This window comes from Homo sapiens, chromosome 1, assembly GCF_000001405.40.
Source record: "Homo sapiens chromosome 1, GRCh38.p14 Primary Assembly".
In the NCBI taxonomy this organism is placed as follows: Eukaryota; Metazoa; Chordata; class Mammalia; order Primates; family Hominidae; genus Homo; species Homo sapiens.
In genome coordinates, this window is record NC_000001.11 from 86,032,756 (window position 1) to 86,045,552 (window position 12,797).

Sequence of the window (12,797 nt, forward strand, 5' to 3'; positions counted from 1 at the left end):
ATTTTAAAAACTCAAAATGCTCCTGAAGAAATATTATTATATTTTAAATGAAGAGCAGATTTCAAAAAAGAAAACTTTAAATATTCTAGGAGTCTTAACAGACTTCATGGATAGTAACTGACAAAAAATTATGTAAAATGGCTTCACACTAGGTACACAAGTGCACAAATGGCATTAAAAATAAATAATGTCTACTTTATTATGCTTGAAATGGGAAGCTCCTCAGAATCATATGCAAGAAAAATGGTAAACATTCCACTTAAAACAACATTCAAGTTTTTAACAATTTATTTGAAAATCAGTTCTACTTTTATCTGCTATGCCTTGTAACAAATGCAGTCTTGGCTGAATTCACTGAATGAGCTAATATAGTTTTAATTTGGAAAAGAGAAGTAAAAAAGAAGAAAAATAAACTATTTTAAACTCTTCATGCTAGTGATTTACTTACGTGTAATTATTGGAACTATTCCCAATTTAGGCTACAGAGATTTTGTGTTTTTTTCTAACTCACTTTAAAATCTTATGAAAAGAATATGTGAATGGCTTAAGATTGGGGAATAGCTATTGGATGGTTTTTAAGAGCAAAAACTAAAGCTTTTCTACCTAGCGCCAAAAAATAGCAATCCATCATCATTCTTTGATGATATAATTAAACTAATTTTAGAATAGTAACTCTTTCTCAATCTGAACATTGACAGCTAAATAATCCCAAAGTAGAATAATTTTCTATAAAACACTAAGAAGTAAGGTGGATCAATGACAGGTTTGAGTCCAAAGAGCAATCGCTGAGTGTAAAATTTTTATATAAGGCTTGTTAGTACTTTCATGTATAAGAGACAGTATTGTGATCACATATTTTTAATATTTTACTTAAGCAGTTATACTTAACATCATCAAAATAATTAATTTAAAGATTGAATGTCATGATGAAATTTGAAATATTTTTGGTTAATTTCCTAAGCTGAAAAATCACAAACTGGAATGTGCACAGTGGTGTGGAGATTGTTTTTCCAATAGTGTTTATTCACAAATATGATAATAAGGACTGTAAGTGCAGTGCTATGAAGTATGAATGATGTTAGAATGCAAGGCTGAACCAACATAATGTACTCACAGGACTGCCATCAAGACCAGCAGGGCCTCTGTCTCCAAAGTCACCTGGAAAACCCTGTCACAGGGAAAGAGGAAGAATGCCAACATATATAAATAATTCATTTTTGCTGTATTTTCTAACAAAGAATTTAGTAATAGAAAATATTAATTTCCTAACTCTTAAACTGTAATGCAACAAACATTCTTTTGCATAACACGCTTAATTGATTTTAAATACAATATTTCAAAAAATAAAAAACGAAATACAGTATTTCTATATGTTATAAAAATTATTTTATATGCCACATAACATATACAGAAAACAAAATTGGAGAAGTTTGTTCATCATACATAAAAAATCACCAAATGAAAGGAAAAACAATGAAGATTTCTGGCTGAACAATCTTCAGTTATCTCTGCTATTCCAAACTATTCCTATACTCACCCCATAGAGAATAAAATAGCTAGTATTATTAAGCACTTGCCATGTGCTAAAGGGTTTATGCACATAATTATATATACACACTTCATTTCATCTTCATAACAGGTCTATTCAATAGATACTAATATTCTCACATTGTTGTTGAGGAAGTTAAAGCACAGAGAGTGTAGGTCACTTGCTCAAGGTTAGACCATTAAAAATGGGTGGGACTGAGATGTGAATGGAGGCAGACCGATTCTAGAGTCCATGTTTTTCAACTATGCTATACTGAATACTTTAAATCATCATTCCAAGACATACATGTAAAACAAAAAGTCCTTTAAGTACAGTTTTATTAAGGAAACGAATAATACACATAAATACTACAAATTTAAAATGAGGTGAAAATTAAAAGCTTCCCAAATGCCTATTGAGAATTCTGCATGGTAAAACTATGAAGGATGGTAAAATAACAAACCTTCTCATTATAAATTCTATTGTAAAATAACTCAACGCTCAGCTACTCTTACTTTACAATACTACATTTTTCTCTAAAGATTTACCATTCCTCAACTTTAAAGCTCACTTTTTAAGAGGCTATTTTATAAAAATGTTTATAAGACTTACTATTGTAAACATTTTCATAATATTCATTTACAAAAACTAGGAATAACAAAAATAAAAATCTATCATTAGATTCTTATAATCTCTTTACATAGGCAAGTCAGTATTAAATATTATGTTTAACAGACTGCCAAAAATTACTGGTTCCCAGAGCAAATATGAATAGGTTAAACTTAAAAGATAGTTTAACAATGGAAAAAATGTACAATGTTTCTAAAATATAGTTAACTCCTACTAGAAGCACAGTTTCTCTTATTCTGTAATCAAAGGATAATGTAAAAACCATCTGTGTAGTCAAATATATTGTAGCCATACTCCCTTCAAAGTCAGCTGAAGCTCAAGCATTTTACTTTCGTTGTCTTTGGAAGTCAAATTTTCTTGTCAACAACTTGCAAATCTGCAATATATTATCCTATTCAGTATGAGCTAACATGGATACTTGAAAGTACTTATGACACACAGGTAATGGAAAAAGTAGAGGAAATATACTACAGTAAGTCTGAAACATAAGAGATGATTGATTTTTTTTAGATAGATCATTAGTAGGTTTTCCAGAAACCCCAGTGAAATAATAAAGTGTAGGGGACACACTGCATGATTCCATTACTGTGTAATGTCCAGAATAGGCAAATCCACAGGGACATAAAGTAGATTAGTGGTTGCCTACGGCTGGTGATGTGGGGGAGGAATGGAAAGTGATTCCTAATGAGTACAGGATTTCTTTTGGGGGTGATGAAAATGTTATAAAATCAGATACTGTGATGGCTGCACAATTCTGAATATACTAAAAACTGCCAAATTATATACTTTAAAGGTGAATTTTATGGTATGTGAATTATATCTCAATAAAGTTGTTCTTAAAAAACAACCTGAACAAGGAGTGGGATTGCTGAAAAACCTTTGGGAATTCACTCAGGATTGCCTAGAGAATGTGCTGTTCTCCCAATCCTTCCCAGTCCCTTGCATCCAGTGGGAGAAACTGTTCTCTGGCTCACCTTCCCTCAAAATGAGTAATTTTTCCCCACCTAGGAGAGGGAAGATGAGAAAGAGAAGAGGGGAAAGAACTGTGATCAGTTCTTCCCTTATCACAAAATACTTACTTTCTACAACCAGCAGAAAAATAATGCAATATTCATTAATTTCAACTTCTTATTCTTCCAGTAGTTCACAAACATGTGTATTGGTTGTTCACCTTGACTTTGCCCCTGAAATAATTTAATTGAATATCTACTTTAAATTTTTAATGTATTTTTCTTTATTATTATTATTATCGTTGTCGAGATGGGGTCTCACTTTGTTGCCCAGACTCTTCTCAAACTCCCAGCTTCAAGTGATACCTCCTGCCTCAGCCTCCCGTAGTGTTGGGATTACAGGCATAAGCCACTGTACCAAGCCGTTGTGTATTGTTTCTCTTCTCACTTTATTACTCATTAAACATTTCATTTTAATTCTCTATTCTTGATAGAGATAATTTATTCTTTTAATCCCTCATATGTTGATCATGTATTATCAATTTTTGAAATAATTTCTATGAAATCTAGACACTTCTTGTTTTATGAAATATTGCACAGTTAATACCACAAAGGCATTATTTGGCTCCTTATTAGACACATAATATTTTCTTTTAAAGAACATCATACCAATGTTTTATATTGTTGAATATTTCCTTGCTTGTTTAATGTTTATTCAGTTGTTTTTCAATGCTAATAACTGCATTAATATTTTAATACAGGTGAGGTTCTATATTCTTTTAATCATGAACTTAATGTTTGCAGCCACATAGCTTCATTGCCAAAAAATGGTCTTCAAGATTGGTTGTGAAATATGGAACAGTAGTGACAAAATACATATCTTTCCTTTAATTTTATAATACAAAAGACAGTCTCTATAATTTCTTTCTCCAGTTGAAAGAATGTTGAAGAATGAAATATTTTGTTATATTTTCCTGGTAGAAAATTATTATCATTAATTTAAATCAAATTGTGTTTTCCTAAAAATACTCTCACGTTGCCAAAGGACAAAATGGCCATTTAGCAGGATTATCATGCAACAGAGATAGGAAAGCTCAAGAGTTTTGCTTTTCTTGTTCAATTTGCCAGTTTCACAAATGTTAACTTTCATCTTCTAATGAGCATGCCAGAGTCACATTGTTGCTTCTGTGTTGTATATAGTTCTCTTCTTCACATTTTGATCAGTTAAAATATTTTATGTGATGAAGAATATGATGTTTCAGGAATTTCAAAAAATCTCTTCAAGTTGTAAATAATTTTCTATTTTCTCATTTATTTCCAGTGATCAGTGTGGTGGACAGTTTAAAGGATCTCCAAAGATTCCCATTTCCCAGTGTTCACACTTTTCTATGACATCCTCCCTTTGAGTGTAGCTAGCACCTATGACTTGCTTCATCTAACAAATAGCATATAGCAAAGGTGATGAGATATCACTGCCATGATTATGTTACACTATATAAGACTGTCTTAGCAGCCTGGAGCTAGAGACTTCTCTTATGAGTTTGATGAAGTAAGCAGCTGTGTTGGAGAAGTCCATGTGGCCAGAAACTGTGGGTGACTCTGCAAACTCTGGACAGTCTATAGGACCTGAGAGTGGCCCATAGCCAAGAGCCGGCAAAAAGCCAGAGCCCTCCATTCTACAACCTCAAGGTAATAAATTCTTCCTACAACCTGAATGAGTCTGGAAATGAACTTTACCCCAGTCAAGCTTCCAGATGATAATGCAGCCTGTCTGACACTTTGATTGTAAACTTATGACCAGAGCAGAAGACTCAGTTAAGTAACACCTAGATTCCTGACCCATGAAAACTGCAAGATAATAAATGAATATTGTTTTAAGCTGCTAAGTTTGTGGTATTTGTTATGTATCAATAGAAACAGAAAACCAATTAAATTGGTAATTAAATCTTCTTTAGAGAATATATAATGTCTTATTTCCAAATTTTACCATAGGTAATGTTCAATATAAGTCTACTGTTGTTTCTAGTTTTAAAAAACTTAGATCATCTCTGAAGATTTTCTACTGCTGTCTACTTTCTATTACAAATTATAATAACAAAAAGTATTACAATTTTTATATTTACTTTTTTGAAAATTTGACTTTATCTTGTTAAATATCTGTATTTTAAACTTTATCATTCCAGCATTTTATGTCCACCTGTCGCCAATGTAAAAAAAATCTTATCATGCTTCATGAATTTTGTCTATACTTATGTAAAGACAAATTTAATAATAATATGCATTGTTTAATAATGGAAAATGCTTGTCAGTCTCCAATTGCAACTGTTTGCAAATATCACACTAATTCTATTACCTCAGGAAGAATAAATCATAATAGAAAGAAAAGATAATAGAAGCTTAAAATTACCAGAAAACAGTATTTTTATTACGTAAGATTCTATTGCATTCATGCTGAGAGAAAAATTAGATAATTAATTTCTCTTTCCTTTTATCAAAATGCTTCTACTGCCTGCTCGAACCCTTAGCACAATCTTGAGCAGTTTCTGTCTCCAATGTCAGCAATGGTACCACTTAAAAACCTTCATGGCATTCAGACATGAAAATACAGGCAAGAGATGTGGAGAATTTCTCTGAAGCCTAAACATTATTAAACTGTGGTACCCAGCCTCAATGATGGACCTCAGTGATCTTTGATTCCCGGTATTCATGCTGTTATGTAGTCCAGACGCACCCTGAATTATGTGGGCCTATGTGACCAAAAGAATATAGAAGTGACAATGTGTAATTTCTGAAGCTAGGTCATAAAGATACTACAGCTATCACCTTGCTGTAGTATCTTTACACCACTCACTCTGGGGGAAGCCAAAGCTATGTTCTGAATACATTCAGCAGCACTGTGGAGAGGTCTCCATGGGGAGGAAGTGAGGCCTCCCATCAACAACTAGCACCAACTTGGCCAGCAAGTGAGCCTCCTTAAAAGCAAATCCTCCAACCCCCAGTCAAGCCTTCAGATGACAGTAGCCCTAACCAAAATCTTAACCATAACCTCATGAATTAGAACCACCCAACTATGCCACTACCAAATTCCTGACCCACAGAAACTATAAAAATAATACATATTTATTGTTGTTTTAAACCACCAACTTAATTTGTTTCATAGCAATAGATAGCTAATACATAGTAACAAGAGTGACTGTCTAGGATTATGGGGCATGTGATGCCAGTGCTAAGTGCTGGATCCTGAATGACAGAGGCACTCAAGTATTTTAAATGTATGATATGCAGGGGCCCTCTAAAGCTCAGAGCCCAGAGCAAGTTTCTCTGTTGCCTGGGTCTAACAATGGTACTGTTATCAAACATGGTAGTTATTAAACACTAAGACCAAAAGAAGTTTGTTAGACTTGATAGGCCTGAATACATGTATGTGATATTAATATTTTAGATCACTCATAGATACTACATTTGGTAGTCTATTTAAATATGTTTAAACAGTGGAAAACTTCTTGCTTAGCATGTCCAGTAAAAGCATTATTTTCCTAGCTCCACAAATAATATGTTTAAATGTATATAAAATAACTAGGAAAATAAGAGGACCAAGATAACCATAAAATGGTCACAATGACTATATTTACAGAATTTTTAAAAAACAAAAGCAATACAAAAACCCTTCTGGAGAACATATTTTGTTCTTTCTAGAGGAAGGTTTAGAAACAACATATTTAATCTGAAGTAGAAATGAATAAAAATTATCATAGAAGGTTATATACTAAACAAGCATTAATAATCATAACAGAAATCATTTGTTCCAAAACTAAGCATTGAAAACACAGGATCAGACTAACTTGTCTAGAATTAGAAACACTAAAATTTAACCTAGAAGTTATTTTTACACATTCTGCATATGAATACATATTACCAGGAAATTCTGTTATTTTAAAATCCCTCAAATATAAAACAAGATCACTACAGGAAGAGGCTGGAGTGTGAAGTATTCTGTGATGATCTAATCTTTTCACCCTTCTTTTCCTCACAGCAAGGACAATTTGATCCACACTCAGGGTCAACCCTATCCTCATAATTGAGACTAATTCTAAACTTCATCAGAAACATGAGTAGGTTTGGCCCAATTCATGGGGGTTTGGCCCAATTCATGGAGATTTGGCATCAAGGCAGGCTTAATGCTAACCTGGGCCTCAGTTCCCAGATTCAAGTTCCGGCCTTGTTCTTAAAGACTGAATACCACGTTGTGTCCTTTTTCTTGTGTCCAAAAACCAGATGTGGTATACAACATCATGTTCTGTCCCTCAATAATAAGAGTCCCACCTTATTCTTGCCATTTGCCCTCCTAGAGAATATAATCCCTGAGCCCAACCTAGGCCTAACTGCCATATATGCACTCACACTTCTGATTTTGATAACCTACAAGGCTCTTTTTTTTTTCTTTTCTTAATTTTATTTATTATTATTACACTTTAAGTTTTAGGGTACATGTGCACAATGTGCAGGTTAGTTACATATGTATACATGTGCCATGCTGGTGTGCTGCACCCACTAACTCGTCATCTAGCATTAGGTATATCTCCCAATGCTATCCCTCCCCCCTCCCCCCACCCCTACAAGGCTCTTTGAGTTGTCCCTTATGTTATCCACCCTGAAGATAATTGCCATATTCCCATCCATTGGTGTCACATCTCTATGAAATCAATTATGTTCTGCCTGGACTTCCTCCAAATTATAACATGTAGTTCATTGGGTGTCCTTCTTCTTAGTGTCTATGCCAACCCTGTGGTGGGGTTAATTCAAAGTCCTGAAATCTTCCATACACCCTGTCATACTACAGTTAGCCAAATATAGCTACTACAGACTATGCCCAGTAAAGTAGAATCCAGAAAATACATTTTTCCTGAAGGAGGCAGAATCCCTTAAGAATTAATAACAACTTTTTCATAATGTTCTAGCTAGAGTTGTACTTTATGATAGAATTAACTGCATTCTTTTCCTAAAACAAAAACAAAACAAAATAAAAAACACTGTCTCTAAATTCTCCACAAAATGTATGTATCTGAGATGCTACTATGCAATATGTATTTAAGACTGTCTTGGGCTAAAGATAAAAACTAATAACAGATGTCCAACACCAGGATTTTATATTCTGAAATTCTAACTCTAGATTTAGAAGCCAAAATACAGTTTACTTCAAATACACTCTTCTAACAGAAAAACATATGAGAAAAGAGGAGCAGGCTCTCCTTTCTATAGTTAGAAAAGTAAACATCTCTGAAGTCTGGGTGCCTTAAGGGTGTTATTTTGCCCACCATTCTAGGCTGTGATATTTTTATCTTCAGAGGAAGAAAACTAAGTACAGTTTTGCTCTTTGTCAAACTTTAAATGTAATGTGATTTGATTATTTATAATCCATTCTAAGGGTCTGAAAAATTCCTTGAAAAACATCAGCATTCGGATAGCAGTTTTCTAGGTGTTGTTGAAAGCAATTCCCATCTCCAATTTCATGTTTATTTTCAATCCTGGCAAGTCAGTTCTAGCATAAATTTTTTAGGTCTGTGGAGCCATATAAATTTGCATGGCTAACTTGGTACAAGACAGAGACTACTGATTAAATCAAGCTGAGAGCTCTGTAAATGCTTTTTTTAAAAGCAACTATAGAATTTCCTGATTGTAGCACTACAAAATAAACTTTGGAAACTTTGCACTAAAAAGGAAGCTACTTGGAGTGAGGTATAAGAAATCTAAAGTTATCAAATACATAACAAATCCCCTCTCCCTGCCTCCCCTATTTTTTTTAAACAGGATTCTTCTTTTCTGTTATGAATCAGTGTACTTAGGCTTTTAAAAAATCTGGCTCACATCAGATATGTTCCAAGAAGATTCTCAAATAAAGACATTAAAGCATGTAAAACAAAACAGTAGTAGTTCTATGGTGTTTAAAGGCTCCTGACCAATAAAGGTTGTCCACTGTCTTGTCTTTTCCTGAAATCTCCAGAGAATGAACTTGAGTTGAACTCAAATATCCACAGATAGAGAGCAAAAGGATGAATCAATAATAGCCTCTTGAGCTTCTCTATCTTCAACAGTTAGTTTTATTGAAGGCACAGAGAGCCCCAGGGTATCCTCTAATATTAATTAATAATAAGGGTTTTGATCCAATTGTGACATGTAGGGAGTGCAGGAGGGAAGGAGAGGAAGAAGTCAGAACTACACCTCGCTATCCAAAAGCATGAGTATACACATACATTGACTAATATTAACTGTGATTACAGGAAGTCTTTAAAAATAATTGTTGTGGTTAGTAAGTACTTATGCTAAAATCCTGAAATCAAAAATGGCTTAAAATACAAGGAAGAAAAAAAACATTTCGAATGCCAACAGTATAAGACCAAGGAACAAGTGAATTTGTTAATATAACTATTTTTAAATAATCTTTGGTTCTAAAATATACCAAATTCCTAACAAAAACAATTCTCCTACTTCAAACTAATGGCCCTTATTGAAGAAAGAAGTGTGTTACAAATATCAATTAAATCTAATAAACATAACATTTCATTTTGGGAAAAAAGAATTTTCTGGGAAATAAGATTTAAGTGGAAATAAATTTTAACACAAATGTTAAATTTGAACATACCATTATGAGGCTAAATAATAAATAATTTTCTCTTTTTAAAAAATAATTACCTCTTGAATAACCAAAGTAATATGCTATTCTAAAATGTGTCCATTTCAATTGCATTCATAAAATATTTATACTAAGAGAAGATAGCTCTTATTTGTAAGTCTATAAGTTCATTAAAAGAAAAATACAGACACCACTAAGCTCATTCATGACAACTTAATTCCGTGCTTTGTGTTTACTCAGGGAAATAAGTGATCATTTGGTTAGCAGTATGAGCACGTGATTTATAGTAACATCTTCCCAAATGTAAAATTAGTAATGTTACTAACTCATTGGACAATTTTAGACAAGACTTTTAGTCCATTTCTGTGCTATATGTATATATAATATAAGTACTATTTTTGCAAACTATTCATATGAAACATGAAGCTTTACTGTGTAGCTGAGAATCCAATTCAGTAGTCCAAAGAAACTGACCCTGATCAATAGGTAGAAAGACCTGAACTCAGATTTTGAAGTTTTTCATGGCTATTGCTTTCACTGTATTGACTGTTAGACTGTTTCATATAATACATAAAACAGAAAGTCAAGTCATTTACTAATTTCTGGGCTTAAATTCAGAATCTTAAAAAATCTAAGTATAAAATGTTAATAAAACTTTATAGATTTCTCTAAAAATATCTACTATTGTTCTATAAATTATATGTTGTAACTATTTAAAACTGAATCATACTCCATGCTCATAAGACTGACTATATCGCTCTACCTAAAATGTAAGGAAACCAGCTCATTTAAAACCCAGAAATCAAAACATATCGTGTACCTAATAATTATATACACCTTCTATCACCCACAAAAATTAAAAAATAAAAAAATTAGAAAAAAACAGAAATATTAATTTAAAAAATTAAGGGTAATAGTTGTGATAAAGTACATCTTCTAATACGATTCTACTAATGATAGTAAATGAAATAATATTGCATCTACACAGCAGCACTACAATGAAACATCAATCCAAACTTCTTCTTTTTATTTTTATTTTTCATTTTTTTTTTGAGATGGAGTCTCGCTCTGTTGCCAGGCTGGAGTGCAGTGGCACGCTCTCAGCTCACTGCAACCTCCGCCTCTTGGATTCAAGCGATTCTCCTGCCTCAGTCTCCTGAGGAGCTGGGACTACAGGCACACACCACCACGCCCAGCTAATTTTTGTATTTTTAGTAGAGACAGGGTTTCACCATGTTGGCCAAGATGGTCTCGATCTCTTGATCTCATGATCCGCCCGCCTCGGCCCCCCAAAGCACTGGGATTATAGGCATGAGCCACCATGCCCGGCTCAAACTTCTAAATAGCTCTCAAACCAGCAGAAAATTAAAACAGTTTTTGACTTATGCAAAACCAAAAGTTTCTCAGATACTGGCACGTTCAGATTTCAGCATTTCCAGGTTTCTATCACATTCAAATGTATAGGTGTCATCCATCTACTTCATAGTAGCCTGGAATCTTTTAGTTCTGTTCTGTATTTCACAATTGATAGTACACATAATTTAATAAATTACCAGGAGAACATGACCATATTCATCTTCTACACACCTACTTTTTTCGACATCAAAGAGAATGGAAAGATTATCAAAAGATCTTTTCCTTTTACTGTTATTAAAACAGTAATAAATGACCATGATTCTCATGGAATTTTAACCATCTAAATTGAAGTACAAGAATCCTATGGTGCATAATACCTTTTGAAGATGATTTTATTTATAATAAACAGAAAGAATAAGGGGGCCATTTATACATAGGATAACATATTCTGGGACAGTCTCTAAGGTCACCCTTGCCATAAGTTGACATGTGGCTATAACTGTATTTTATTCTAAGTATTCACATTTTCCTTATAAATATAGACAAATGATTTTACAGTAAAAATGAGAAAAAGTACATATAGCATACATAATATATTACGGTACTAGACAGACTTTAAAATAAACATTAGTCAGAAAAAATGAATATTATGTGTTTTTCAAATACAATTTTTCTAAAGATCTAAATCTATTACAAATGCATATATTTTAAAAGCAATAAAACTTTGAAAATTTTGTAATAAGAAGAACAGTGCAATCAAACAAGAGCCCCATAATCATTTCATTCACTATTTTTCAGCTGTCTTCTTAAACTCCTTTTTTAAATTCAATAGACTCCTGTTGGATAATTTCATAATTCCCTATGGATTACAAAACCAGAAGTTGTCTATAAAGGTCTCTGAATAATTTTATAATTCATTATAGTAGGAATAGAAATTACCTGTACATTGCCAAAGCCAAAATCAAGTTGATGTCTACATGAGATCAGCAATATTATCAAATGAAATAATTGGTGGTTATCTAAGTGATATATAACAAGGGTTTTGAGAAAATACTCAATTTGCTCATCAATGTCTAAAATTCCACCAATGCAGATTAGTTATTTTTTCTTAAGACTATTTTATTTTTAATTTATTTTTATTTTTGTTTTTATTTTTTGAGATGGAGTCTTACTCTGTCACCCAGGCTGGAGTGCAGTGGCACGATCTCAGCTCACTGCAACCTTATTCTCCCGGGTTCAAGTGATTCTCCTGCCTCAACCTCCTGAGTAGCTGGGATTACAGGCACCCACCACCACAGCCAGCTAATTTTTGTATTTGTAGTAGAGATGGGGTTTTGCCATATTGGCCAGGCTGGTCTCGAACACCTGACCTCAACTGATCTGCCCGACTCGGCCTCCCAAAGTGCTGGGATTACAGGTGTGAGCCACCGCGCCCAGCCTTCAGACTGTACCTACTTAGTAAAGGGTAAGGTAGCATTTTAAGCATTGGAAGTAATTCGTGTATTATGGCAGATGATTTTATTGGTCCTTTTATTAATAGCATACATTGATAGGAGAAGGGTGAAAATTTGAAGATACAGAATGGAGTAAATAAGACTAAAGAAAACAAACCACCTATTGTTAATTTTTAGAATTTTAGATTAGAAATTGGATACCCAATAAATAGAAAGGTATTTTCTGTTGGGATATGTGTATGAGAGCT

General features: G+C 33.2%; 1 protein-coding gene across 20 annotated transcripts in view; it reads right to left on the reverse strand.

Annotated features, from left to right (window-relative positions):
- The window catches only part of COL24A1 (collagen type XXIV alpha 1 chain), a 427,752-nt gene that overhangs the window by 303,523 nt on the left and 111,432 nt on the right, over positions 1-12,797 (reverse strand). For all 20 annotated transcript variants that reach the window (NR_146340.2, NR_146341.2, NR_146342.2 and 17 more), the window contains one exon: positions 1,115-1,168. Coding sequence is in view for 13 of the 20 variants with exons in the window: in XM_047417004.1 (XP_047272960.1) it covers positions 1,115-1,168 (54 nt within the window). In the remaining 7 variants the exon portion in view is untranslated. The remainder of the gene's footprint in view (positions 1-1,114; positions 1,169-12,797) is intronic.